The sequence below is a fragment of the Homo sapiens genome, chromosome 10 (genome assembly GCF_000001405.40).
Source record: "Homo sapiens chromosome 10, GRCh38.p14 Primary Assembly".
Lineage (NCBI taxonomy): Eukaryota > Metazoa > Chordata > Mammalia > Primates > Hominidae > Homo > Homo sapiens.
In genome coordinates this window covers 89,428,503-89,442,635 of record NC_000010.11, presented here as the reverse complement: position 1 = coordinate 89,442,635, position 14,133 = coordinate 89,428,503, and the positions used below count along the sequence as shown (strand labels likewise).

At 38.8% G+C, this 14,133-nt stretch overlaps 1 protein-coding gene across 7 annotated transcripts in view; it reads left to right on the top strand.

Moving 5' to 3' along the window:
* The window catches only part of SLC16A12 (solute carrier family 16 member 12), a 126,406-nt gene extending 114,069 nt beyond the window's left edge, over positions 1-12,337 (top strand). For all 7 annotated transcript variants that reach the window (XM_047425223.1, XM_047425221.1, XM_047425222.1 and 4 more), the window contains 4 exons: positions 1,385-1,528; positions 3,453-4,032; positions 6,317-6,576; positions 9,310-12,337. In XM_047425223.1, the coding sequence (XP_047281179.1) occupies positions 1,385-1,528; positions 3,453-4,032; positions 6,317-6,576; positions 9,310-9,572 (1,247 nt within the window). In that variant the 3' untranslated portion in view covers positions 9,573-12,337. The remainder of the gene's footprint in view (positions 1-1,384; positions 1,529-3,452; positions 4,033-6,316; positions 6,577-9,309) is intronic.

The window sequence follows — 14,133 nt, the reverse complement described above, 5'->3', positions numbered from 1 at the left end:
AAATCATATATTCGAGTTATAGAGCTTGTCTTTTTTTTGAAACCACTTGATTTTCAGGGTCACATTATTAGTCACAGCATTTGCATCAGCACACCAAAGAAGCCATGTTTGTCTTCTCAGAGGATAAAAGTGACTAATTTCCCTCATTTCTATCTTTTGGAGGATATTCATAATCCCCCAAATAGGAGGAAATGACCTTAGGTGACCAATATGGTCACACAGTCAATATGGTTCACACAGTCAAGCTTTGAGTAGGGTTATGTCAGAAGCAACATATTTAAATTCTATGCAAGACCAAGAGGCCTGTTGTACACAATTACCATATACCTACCTGCTCACCTTGTAACATAATATTAGAACATTAAAGTTCAGAGTATGGATGAGAGTCTGCAGAATCACATGTGGGACACCCACTGGGAACAGATCTGCTCTGTGATGAACAGAGAAGGTAACAGTTGACCCCCAATTTCAGTCTGATCAATACAAAAATGATCATACTCTTCAGACACCTGGAAAATCAGGTCTTCTGATCTTGCTACTAAGAGTTACTGATGTCAGCATGAATTTTTCCTTAGAAGGAAATTCACATGCCTTCCTCACCCATCACTCCTGCCATTAGTCTGAGAGACCCAAAGAGTAAGGGCGTGAAATAACCTCACACTCGGTGTTAGGTGCTCTTGTTGGTGACCTTGGGCCATGCCATATACCCCTGAACTTCAGTTCCATTTTGGTCTCTGGTTTTACTTAATATTCTATGAGCCTTGAGGCCAACATAATTCTGATACACTGGTAAGCCACAAACCAAGTGAGACCAACCAGAATGTCACCATGGGCATGAAGCATTTTTCTTAGATTTTCTGGGCTTTGATATCTCAACCACAGGGTGTGCTGAAGCCTGAAAACTGGGCCAGATTGTGGAATTTGTCTATGATCTCTCTCCCTGGTCTTTTACTGCATAACCCTGCTGGTCACATGGTGTTATCCACTTTCTTTCTCCAGCAATTAACTGTCACCATTATTGCTAATGATATATGATCAACACTATAGTAAGCATCCCTGTGCAAATGACATGTAATTTAGAGAAAGTTGATCCACTGTTTAAAAAACACCCTACCGTCCTGCCATTATGACTATAATAGAATGAAGAGGATTGAGCCCTGAAATGCAGGTCAGGAGACTTGAGTTCTATTCCAACCCTGCTGCTTATTATCTGTGGGACCATGGACAATCACTTCCTTTCTCTGGGCCTCAGTTTCCAAAGCTGCAGAATTAATAGGGTGGGCTCAATGCTTTAAAGGTTCTCTCCTCTGTCAATGCCACATCACAGCCTTTCACAGTGCCCTCAAGGCCTTTCTGTTGAACCTATTTCTTATTGTTTTTGAAGCTCCACTTGGGAGTGTTGTCAGTAACCATTTATCCTGTCAAGTGGGAATCATGCTGGGTGGCTTGCTTGCATCTACTGGACTCATCCTGAGCTCATTTGCCACGAGTCTGAAGCATCTCTACCTCACTCTGGGAGTTCTTACAGGTAAGGGCACTTTGTACCACCTGTCTCACCCCACTCCATTCAGGGGTTTCCAAGCACATCAACAGAGAAGTAATTCATAAAATATTCATTTTGTTAGATGCATAATTTAGTTGACCTAGCTTATGTCTACCTACCTAGCAGTTAAACAGAGCTGGAAATGAGATTACATTACCCTAATGAAAATGCATCTCCACTGTAATTCAGCCAGATGGTAAAAGCAACTGCAGCTTTCTCCTTGGAATTAGTGTATGACTGAGATTCTGTACTCAGAAGAAACAAGATATTACCCAGGGCAACATGAATTTTCAGCAATGGTCATTCTTCCAGCCATTGCCAAGACATTAAAATACTATTGACGGTCAATCTGAGTTGCTCCTGCTTTATAATGAATATTGCTGTCCAATAAATGGGAGTTTCTAATTTTAAAAAACCCTTTATTGTGAATATTCTTATATTACACATTCTTTCTCAATGCTGTGGAAGTATCACTTTAGCAAATCATAATAAATGCCATGGAAAAAAGCAACATGTACATTCAATAAATCACTCTTACAGAGACTGCATAGGATTGTGGGACTGCAATGGGAGTTTGCCTATCACTCAAAGGGGTGTGGAGAGTAGCGCCAACTCCTGTCTGGGCATTGTGCCATTGGTGTGGCGTGAATAAGGTCAATAAAGGACGTAACCTCATAGTGAGGCTATAAATTTGGCTATGTTAGCTAAAGAAGGTACACCCACCCCTAGTAACCCAAAGACCCTGACTGCTGCTATGGTGACCAATGGATCCCAGTTTACCAGGCACTGTCCTGGTTTTAACACTGGAAGTCCCACATCCAGAAACCCCTCAGTCCAGGCAACTCTGGGTTGCTGGCTACTGTGCACTGCAGTTGGAAGCAGGAGCTTCTGAAGGTGGTTCTCTTTTTCCTTCTCTGACATTCTAGTTGCCATAAAATCCAGGCTCACAGCCCCTCAGATTTTCTTCACTTAAAAAGTAATAGAAATTGATCTTTTTTTTTTTTTTTTTTTTTTTTTTTGAGACAGGGTCTATCTGGCTCGGTCCTCAGGCTGGAGTGCAGTGGCGCAATCTCAGCTGCAACCTCTGTCTCCTGGGCTCAAGCCATCCTCCCCCTTCAGCCTCCTGAGTAGCTAAGACTACAGGTGCATGCCACCACACCTGGTTAATTTTTGTATTTTTTTTTGCAGAGATGGGGTTTTGCCATATTGCCCAGGCTGGTCTCAAACTCCTGAGCTCGAGTGATCTGCCTGCCTCAGCATCCCAAAGTGCTGGGATTACAGGCATGAGCCACTGCACCCAGCCCAAAAGTTGAAGGTCTCTAAAAACTTTCTAAAGTGTCAACATTTGTCTGCTGACCTTAAGAGATATTTTCACATATATGAAAATATACATTGCTATGTTCACATATAAAATTGGCATGATGTTTCCCAACTATGTAAAATTACCCTGGAATTTTCATAGTTGTACATGCTATTTGAATCCAAATTCCAGAGTGGTGCAGATTGTCAGTGTTGTGTCTTCATAGGCAGTGAAGCGTTTAGGGAATTGTCTGGATAATTTAAGTTAAAAAATGGAGGAAGTGATAAGTTTCTTTGGTTGGCATTATCCAGATTTTCTAGTGAATTCCAATTTAGTTTGTGTAATTATTTTTATGTTCTTCATTTAATTTTGTTTATGAAGTCATATTTCCTTAAGGGTGTTCTCCCTAAAAAGAAAGTCATATATATTCTACATTTTCCAAATTGTGAATGACTGGTGAGGGGAGACTCATTTTAAGCTTGGTGTAAAAAGCAGCTTTAAAAGGGTTTAATGAGAGGTCAGATTCTCTTTAATATAAATCATTGTATTCTGAGATATCATTGGCTGTTTATGGTACTTCAGCACTCATAGAGTTCTCTTTATCCTCAGGTCTTGGATTTGCACTTTGTTACTCTCCAGCTATTGCCATGGTTGGCAAGTACTTCAGCAGACGGAAAGCCCTTGCTTATGGTATCGCCATGTCAGGAAGTGGCATTGGCACCTTCATCCTGGCTCCTGTGGTTCAGCTCCTTATTGAACAGTTTTCCTGGCGGGGAGCCTTACTCATTCTTGGGGGCTTTGTCTTGAATCTCTGTGTATGTGGTGCCTTGATGAGGCCAATTACTCTTAAAGAGGACCACACAACTCCAGAGCAGAACCATGTGTGTAGAACTCAGAAAGAAGACATTAAGCGGGTGTCTCCCTATTCATCTTTGACCAAAGAATGGGCACAGACTTGCCTCTGTTGCTGTTTGCAGCAAGAGTACAGTTTTTTACTCATGTCAGACTTTGTTGTGTTAGCCGTCTCCGTTCTGTTTATGGCTTATGGCTGCAGCCCTCTCTTTGTGTACTTGGTGCCTTATGCTTTGAGTGTTGGAGTGAGTCATCAGCAAGCTGCTTTTCTTATGTCCATACTTGGAGTGATTGACATTATTGGCAATATCACATTTGGATGGCTGACCGACAGAAGGTAAAATTCATGAAACCACAATTGGTTCCCCACCAGGGGACTTTAAGCCTTGAGTTTCTCCTCAGCCCCTTACCCTGTGGAGTACCTAGGTCTGAATAATGTTAACAAGTCTGCAGTATCTGAAGGCATCTCCCTTGCTGGTACTTCTAGATCAGAGGTTGGCAAAATTTTCTGTAAAGGAACAGATAGTAAACATTTTTGGCTTTGTAGGCCAAGTGTTCATCATAACTACCCAACTCTGCTATTATAGTACAAAACAGCCACAGACAATATGTAAACAAAAGAGAGTGGCTACGTTCCAATAAGACTTTATGCACACTGAAATGTGAATTTCTCTTATAATTTTCATGTGTCACAAAATATTGTTCTTTTGATTTTTTCCAACCATTTTTAAACGGAAAAACCGTTCTTAATTCACAGGTAGTACAAAAAGATGTCATGGGCCAGATGTGTCTAAATTGCAGAAGCCTAGGGTAACTACAAGTTCTGGCGGTAGATTTAATTCCATCCCAAGACAAGTCAGTCCTCAAGCAAGACAACTTTTGGCTGGGTGTGGTGGTGTTAGTTTCTTTTGAACCAGTCCTGACTGGCAATGGAAAAAGGAGCAGAATTCAGTTTAGGCAGGAGGGCCAGGTGCAATGATAACACATTGTCTGTAGCCACATATTCATGTTTGACAATGCAAATTGCAAGTAATTTCCTTGTAATTGCAGGCTTAGAAACCAAAGTTATAAGAAATCTACCAAGTAATTTCTTCAGCAAATGCTCATCTGTTTGGACTGAAGAGTGCAGGCTACTCATATTCTCCTAAATGATGAACCATTCACACTTGAGATATGACCTGCAGGGCTAATACCATCATGTAGCTTCTCACAAATTATGTTTTTGGTAATTAATCAGGATCCAACTGCCATTCTCCAGTGTTATGAATATGATATTTAGTATTGATTCCACATTTTTAATGGTTAAAGAAGAAGTGGAAGAGCAAAGATTACCTATTTTCACAATCAAATAACTCAGCAAGAAGCAGCCAGGTGTAGGTCTAATGGAGGCATCTCTACTCTGAGGCATACTAGACCTAAGTTCTTGCACTGGCTTTGCTCCTTATTAACCCTGTGACCTACAGAAAGTCACCTAACCCTCAGATCCACAATGATCTCTATCTGTAAAATGAGCCAGTGCAATATTTGCCTGTTGACCTTATACTATTTTGTGATGTTCAAATGAGGCTGTGAGTAGAAAAATGTTTGTAAAGCATAAGCTGTTGGAGCTGACATTATACAGATTCTTTGAAATTATTGGTATCATAAATGGGTTTGGAGTTATCAGGAAAATTAATGGGAATACCACTTGGGAGATCTTGAAATATATTAGACTTCATCCTAGTCCAAGACCTCCATCATCTCTGGCAAATCATTTTAATGTCTTTGTATTACAGTTTCCCCTTTGTGTAACCACTTGGGTTATTGAGTATTTATGATCTATGACATGCCAGATACCAATGGATAACATACCTAAAAGTATCTAATAAGGTAGACTGCTAGGAAAATTACCCTTCTGATCCTTTACATCAAGCTTGTCCAACCTGTGGCACATGGGCTGCCTGTGGCCTGGGATGGCTTTGAATGTGGTCCAACACAAATTTGTAAACTTTCTTACAACATTTTGAGATTTATGCACTCTTTCTTTTTCTTTCTTTCTTTCTTTCTTTCTTTCTTTCTTTCTTTCTTTCTTTTTCTTTATTTCTTTCTTTTCTTTCTTTCTCCTTATTTCCTTCCTTCCTTCCTTCCTTCCTTCCTCCTTTCCTTTCCTTTCTTTCTTTTTTTCATCAGCTATCATTAGTGTTAGTTTATTTTATGTGTGGCCCAAGACAATTCTTCTTCTTCCAATGTGGCCCAGGGAAGCCAAAAGATTGGAGACCCCATTTTACATTTTATTTCTATTTTATTTCACGACTAATTTCAGAGTAACCCTGTGAGATAAGTAACCTTTCCATTTTATAGCTAAAGAAATTGAGTTAGGCAGGCAGTGGGTGGCAGGACTAGTTTTAATATTCTACCTTTCTAATTTTGAAGTATATATTCTTTCTACCACACCATGCTTCCTGGAGAGATGAATTCTTGCATTTGCAAAAAAGAAAGATAGGAAGACAGCATACATAACACACAATGGGAAAGCCATCTCTGTAAATAACTGCAATGCTTACTGCTGCATAGCCGTGGCTCTAAAGCTCTTTTACAGAATGTGTACCTCCTGCACTTATTCTTGTTCTTCAAATCTACAGGTGTCTGAAGAATTACCAGTATGTTTGCTACCTCTTTGCCGTGGGAATGGATGGGCTCTGCTATCTCTGCCTCCCAATGCTTCAAAGTCTCCCTCTGCTCGTGCCTTTCTCTTGTACCTTTGGCTACTTTGATGGTGCCTATGTGACTTTGATCCCAGTAGTGACCACAGAGATAGTGGGGACCACCTCTTTGTCATCAGCGCTTGGTGTGGTATACTTCCTTCACGCAGTGCCATACTTGGTGAGCCCACCCATCGCAGGTAAGTTTCCAGAGAGAAACCCCAACCACCTTTTCTCTTTGGCATATTGATGTGAAAACAGCAAACCCACATGCAGTCAATGAGAAGGACTGTCAAGAGAGTTGGGGAAGAGTGAAAGAGAAAAGGGATATAAGAGCCCCCAAAACCATCATGGTCCCACCTACATCCTTGTTTTATAATCTTCTTCCAACCAAGTAAGAACCTTAGCCTACCTGGAAAGAGTAAGTCCCAAATTAGGGTCTTGATTCCTTTCCATATTAATGATGGGAGCAGGGGGATGGAGCAGTTGTTCAGCCTTATAAATAAGTAGGGTGCATTCAGAGGGAAGTCTCAGGGGAGAACAGGATTCCAACAGGGGGCAGTGGGTGATGAGGCTGAAATTATAAACGCCAGTGTCATAGTGGAGTGTTTTGGGTGCCAGACAGAGGAACTGGGCTCTATTCTTCAGAGACTGTGGATAGTATTAAAGTTTTTATGTAAAAGGATAATATGGTAAAGTATATATGTTAGAAAATGTGATCTAGCAATTGATCTAGTAACTTAGGAGAGAGGTAGCTAAGATTCCATTCTAATAGTTTAGGAGGCAGCTGATAAACGCCTGAGCTAGGGCTGCTGCAGCAGAAATAAAGATGAGCTCTGGGGGCAAGGAAGAAGTTTTCAAAACAAAATTCAGCAGAATTTAGCATACAGAGGTGAATGAGAGAAAGAAGTCAAGGATGACTTAGAAAATAATGTCATGGTTGAGAAAATAAGGAAATTCGAGAAAGTGGCTTTGCCTGAAAAATAATGAATATGGTTTTTAGATATGTTGAGATTTCTGAAATATACAGGTAAAAATGCTCAATAGAGCTGTTTAAAGATGAAATATGAGCTTTAGTGGATGGCCTGGTTTATATATAGATTTGGGAATCATCATATAAAGCACATAGAATGTTTTATAAACTCTAAAATGCTATAGAGTGAAGCATGATTAAACAATTTGACAAATATTTATTGTATGCATTAAACAAGTAATTCAACAAATACATATTGCATGTGTAACTAGCATTGTGTTTATCATGCTGGAGAGACAGGAGTAAACAGGTCAGAAGCTGTTTCTCCTTCCTAAAGCATGTGGTCTACACCACCTGCATCAGAGTCTCCTAGGGACCTTGTTAAAAATGCAGATTCCTTGACACTCCCACCTGTGATCTGAATGTTGAGGATGAGTTCCAGAAATCTGCATTTTCAACCAGCTTTGTTGTGATGCTCATGCGAGGTAAATATTGAGAATGACTGTTCCATATTATTATCTGCCTAAATTAAAACTGAGAGAGTGAACAAGTTCTCTGAAGACAGGCAAAAGAGAAATAACCCAAAACTTTGCCTAGAAAGAAGGCAGGAATTTTTTTGAGGAAGGCAGAGTTTCTGCTATTAGCTATTATTGTGAATAGACAGTTTCAGGCTATTTCCAAATCCAGCAATTGGGGTGGAATAAAAACAGCAAACTAGGGGAAATTGTGGCCGCTTGAGTGGTGCAGATGACAAAACCCTGTTCAGTTTGAACTCCATGATACAGATCTTTATGTTTAATGCTCCATTTTTGAAAACTGCCCCCAAAATATTCCCACATCCTCCTTTCATAGCTTATTTTAGTGCTCACCAACCTTTAGAAACAGTGTCATTCTATCAAAGGTCACAGGACACAAATGAAATTGGGATTCAGTTCGTGGCCTTCATTGGCAAATCAGACATGATACTCATTACTGGAAATTCGAGGATTAATTCTTATTGTATCATTTTCTTATTTATTTACCTTTCAAATGACAACTGTGTACTCAGTCTTTTTTGTTTGGTGCTATAGAATTGCACAAGTAAATCAAACAATAACTAAAATATTTGAGAGCAGTTTAAATTCAGGAAATTTTGTGGGGCTTATAACAACTTCTACATGCTATTTTTGACGAATGGATCTGAAGTGGGTAAGAGAAGAAATCATATACTTCTCTGGTGGGTTTTCTTGGCAGATAAGGAAAGTTTGAAGGAATTTAAAAAAACCTTTGTTAATTATAAAATAATTGCCTGACGAAGTATAATGTTATTCCACTGGTTTTCTGTCATTGTGGACCCTATTTTGCATATCATATGCCCGGTTTTCCTCAAAATTTAGAGCTGAGATAGATATTGAGATTAATTTGTTGCAACAAGAGATAAAGAAAAAAAAGCTAGTTTGCATTTGCAACTGCTAAAATAGCTGAAAGTTCTGATTTTCAAACTGGATAGAGTACAATGACTGAATCCAGTTGAAAATGTGATACTGCTTTGAAGCATGTCATGTTACTCAAAACAGTGTATGGGTGCTGTGAATACTACTGGCATTTTGTACAAATATGTTCTCTTAACACCCTAGGTAAATTATTCCAACCTTAATAATTTAAATGATGCTATTTTTATCTTTTTACCAGATTTCATGGGGTTAATAGTAACTAATATTTACGTTGTGACTACTAAGTACATGATGCTTTTCCAAGCACTTTACAGAACAACAATCAATTCACTCTAGAAGTTTTCCTGGAAAACAGAATGTATTTTTCAGTTGCTGCACAATATTTTTAGGTGACCTCTTTTTGTTTCAAAGTTACAATTGGTGGTGCTATCGATCTATTATTATCCTTACAAATCATTAGAATTTGAGAGTGGGTAAGCAATTGAATTTTCAACTCAAAAATAAAATTTTGCTGTTGTTTGTTACAGGACGGCTGGTAGATACCACCGGCAGCTACACTGCAGCATTCCTCCTCTGTGGATTTTCAATGATATTTAGTTCTGTGTTGCTTGGCTTTGCTAGACTTATAAAGAGAATGAGAAAAACCCAGTTGCAGTTCATTGCCAAAGAATCTGATCCTAAGCTGCAGCTATGGACCAATGGATCAGTGGCTTATTCTGTGGCAAGAGAATTAGATCAGAAACATGGGGAGCCTGTGGCTACAGCAGTGCCTGGCTACAGCCTCACATGACCAAAGGCCTTGAGCCCCAGAATCTTCAGGTTTGAGAGAGGTGGGGCCACCAGATTCTTCATGTTTCTGAAACTTTTTATTTTGGCAGAAGGATTGCCTTCCAAGGAAATTATTATTATTGTTTTGTTAACATATTAATATTTATAAGGGAAAACAGCACATAATAAGGAAAGCTGGACTAGCCCAGAGCCTTCTCATTTGGGATTTGTGCTCATAACTGAACTCGTATCTTTTGGTCAATGGGCATAGCTCTGTAAGAAATGTAAGGACACAGCTGATATAATTAGCTGTAATTAGGGATAATTTCAAAGCATAACCAAAGCAGATGACACTGGGCAGCAGCTTTGTTCCAGTCTCAGGCCCTTCATGTTCCCTCCTCAGAAAGAAAATGGAAACATTAACGTGTAGCTTTGCTTACCTTGTTCTGGTTAGAGAAGGGAGGTCAGCTTGGGTGTGGTGGTGAAGAGTGAAGATGCCATACTTTTTCATGGTGGAGTTTCTCATTAGGGTTTTACTTGGGATTGTTAAAGAATACTTGAGATTCTTCAAAAAGTGGTGATTAATATAGAAAGAAACTCTTATTTTTTTTTTCTCTTAGTCTTCCAGCCAGCCCTTGCCTCTGCCCAAGGGTAGACACCACTATGAGAATCCAAATAATCATGGAATGCCATGGTTGGAATAGATCTTAAAGGGCATCTGGTAAGATCCATTTGAAATTGTCCACTGGAAACCGAAAGCTCTTTTCCTAAGACTGGGTTCCAGGCTCTCACATTTGTTACCATCACATATAATACTTACTCTAAATTTAGCAGAACACACTTAGTCACAAGGACAACCTCTCAATCTTACCTGAAATGTCAACAACACCAAAACTTCCCGTCTTTTACCTTCAGAGAAGAAGCTCTTACTTAGACTGCAGACGCATTCCTGTTAGGTTGGAAAAATGTTGGCAGTATTCCAATTGGGCAGGAACTGAATTCTTGAATCAGCAGGTCTCTGGTGAGAGTTTTCTTTGCAGATCAGACATTTAGTTTTATCATTACCCAAAAGAGGATTGGAGGGAGTCAGTTGTCTGAAAAATATTATCCTAGAGATATTCTAAAGGTGAGATTCCTTTCTCCCTGTGTTAATTCTTGTTCCACTATCCACTGCTCTTCATCTCTTTATAGATAATAATTAGAAATCTACTCATTGGATTATAAGTTTATTCATTCTCAAATACTCCACTTTTCTATGGTTTGGGATAATTTCTGAGTCTTCAGATTGAAGAGGGAAGGCATGGAGGGAAGAAAAAGTCCAGATCCCCCAGCTTGTTTCCAACCATTTTAAGTCCAAAGAATTATAATCCTGAATCTCACAGTGTGTCACACCTGTAATAGGAGTAAATTATGCAATCAATTTTAATTACCAGGAGTTTAAAATCCAAATGTCAAGGAACTGTTTTGACCCTGAAGGCTATTTAATCCACTGTCCCCTACAAGGCCTCACAAGTGCTGGGGGAAAAAAAACAGCAATGAGGATGATCCTGAGTTAATGTGTATGCTCCGCAAGAGAGCTTGCCTATACCTTGATTATTTCATAAAATCACATGTTAATACATTGCTTTCAGAATGAAATACTGACTTGATCTGATAGGAGAAAATGGTAATATTTCATAGTTGTTTTCCAAAGACAAATTTAAATGTTGTCTGTTATCTCCTTACTTAGTTTAAGAATTTAGTTTTGAACCCCATTGACTTTGTCATTTGCAATTTTAAAAATATTTGGGACTGGGCATGGTCGCTCACGCCTGTAATCCCAGCACTTTGGGAGGCTGAGGCGGGTGGATCATGAGGTCAGGAGATCAAGACCATCCTGGCTAACATCGTGAAACTCCGTCTCTACTAAAAATGCAAAAAATTAGCCAGGCGTGGTGGCGGGCGCCTGTAGTCCCAGCTACTCATGAGGCTGAGGCCGGACAATCGCTTGAACCCAGGAGGTGGAGGTTGCAGTGAGCCAAAATCATGCCACTGCACTCCACCCTGGGCGACAGAGCAAGACTCCATCTCAAAAAAAAAAAATTGGAAGGTATCTGTAAAATGTCAAAGTTAAGATGAAGTTATATCTGTTTGGAATAGCACTTTGCCCTAAATATCATTTCTTGAATTTTCAAGCCTAAAGATGTTTAAAAATATGAATAGTTACAAATATTCTTATACATATTTTTTATCATGATCACAACAAAATTTTGTTTATGTGGTTCTGCAATATAATTTCTGTGAAGTATTACAAGTATTTATGAAAAATAAGCATAGTGATCAGAAATTTTAAAGATTTTGTATAAAAACATTTGGGAGATTTGACTTTATACATGCATAGATTTGCATTTTACTTTCCCTTTTGAGGCAGCATTTTTAGAAAATCAGTAAGAAAAATGTACATCTTAAGGTCTACTATTTTACATTTCTACACAGAATTTTAGTGTTAATGTTCCATGTGTCTATACTGTTTATTTCAAAACTGAGAAATTCATGGGAATGATGTATTTTGTGGAATCAAGAACAAAATTATAGTGGGATAATTTTACATCTTAAATATTTCTTTCTACTACTGTAAGCTCTACTTTGGAATTATCTGAGTAGAAAATCAGAAGACATTATCTAACTTTGTAGATACACTGTATGATTGGGCTTTTTGTTCAGATTGTAATTTCATTAATAGATGAAATATTTATGCTAATATTTTCTTATTTCAAAAGCAAAATAAAATGAATTTATTGTCCTGTGTTTGGAAAGACATTTTTCCCTCGGACAAGAGGTTTGGACTGGATGGTGAGTGGGCCTGTCTGGATCATGCTAAGATGTGGTCAGCATTTTAAGATGTGTTAAATAATCAAATGATTTACAAAAACCAGAAGTCTTTATTGAGTTCTTCCAATGTGTGAGCTATTATGCCAGGCACTTCCTATGCATTGTCATTGTCGAATTTAATCCCCATAGTGACCTCTATTATTATCATTTTGTAGATGTGGAAACTGAGGCACCAGTTCCCACAGCTCAGTATCCTCTAGTGTGAAATCCTGTAAAACTGGGATGCTGCTGATGCTGAAGCCCTGTGTCCTTCCCCTGTGCCTACTTGGATTATCTTATGTGGGTTCAAGAAGCTGTTGGGAAACCGACGCTCCCTTGGACAGATAAAATCCTTTGGATTATGCTTCAGTCTTCTAATCAATATTGAAGGAAGATTCTAGATTGGAGATTTCCAAGAGTTTTCCCAAGAGGATCTATCAAAACCACTACTTTCAGGCTCAGTGGTTTAATTTGCTGTTGATTGATCCAGGCTTCTTTTGGGGAGCATTTAGGGTTGAGGGGGTGAATTGGGGAGCATATTTTGTCCCAAAAGTGAGCTAGTTCCACTGTCTGCTTTCCACATTACCAAAGTCAGGCTTTCTCAGTTAGGAGTTGAGTTCTTTTTGAATTGCCTTCACCACTGCCAGTGATAATGAAAATGGTAATGTCTATTTGACACTCCCCTTCCTGGTCCCAGTAGGTCTAATTCTGAAATTGTTTACTGAAATGAAATAGTACAAATTCAGGGTGGATATCTGAGTTTCTTTTCTCACACTTGAAAGTTTGAGTAAAAAAAAAAAAAAGTTTTTTTTTTGTTTTTTTTTTTAACTCCGTCAAGCAATAGATTTTTATATCTGTTGCCAGCGTAGCTACCAATGACAGATAACTGAGGTTTTGTCCCATAGCACGGAAAACTATTTGGTTGGGGAGTGGGAAGATATAAATAATGATAAAAGGACTGACATTTAAGACAAAACATGATGGTACTTTTCAAACATATACAAAAGTAGAATGAATAGTGTAAAGAACTTGAGGTACCTATCCCCCCACATCTACAATTATCTACCCATTATCCTCTCCCTTGAGAAGCAATTTGAAGTATATTAACATGTGGGCAGCTCATGTTTCCTTCAGCTGCCAGGGAATGCCTGAACTTGGCAAGAATAATTTGTTCCTGCTAACGGGGACATGTGTGGTTAGTATCACCTATTAATGAGCCACATCATTACTTACAAAGCTGATTGGGGCTCCTTTCTTGATATGGGCTTTGAGTGTCTCAATTGAAGATTAAAATTTTCTCCTTTTCTCCCCAGCCCCTAAGGATCTATCTACCTGAGGCCCAGGGCTGTATTAAATAAGTTAAAAGAGGCTTTTTTTTTTTTTCTCTCCTGACCCAAGAGAGTCAAACCAATGAAAAGGGATTTTGAGGTTTAGATGAGAGTGATCATTATTACTCTCATTATTGCTCTTAATTGTTTAAGGGTCAGAGGTCTTTTTGAGGGATCTGGGACCTAAGATTGGTCTAGAATTAAGTAAAAAGCAGTTTATTTTTGAGTTGAGTTGGCACTAAAAGGCTTTAGAATTAGCATTTCAAATGCAGCCCTTTTCACATTTTTCCATAAATATGTTTCTTTTGTGATGACAAGTTAGGCCTTTTCCCACTGACCAGTGTAATGATGGAAGAGTTCAAGGACCTTGTCCTACGAAAGATGAAGACCTATGTTCATTCTTGG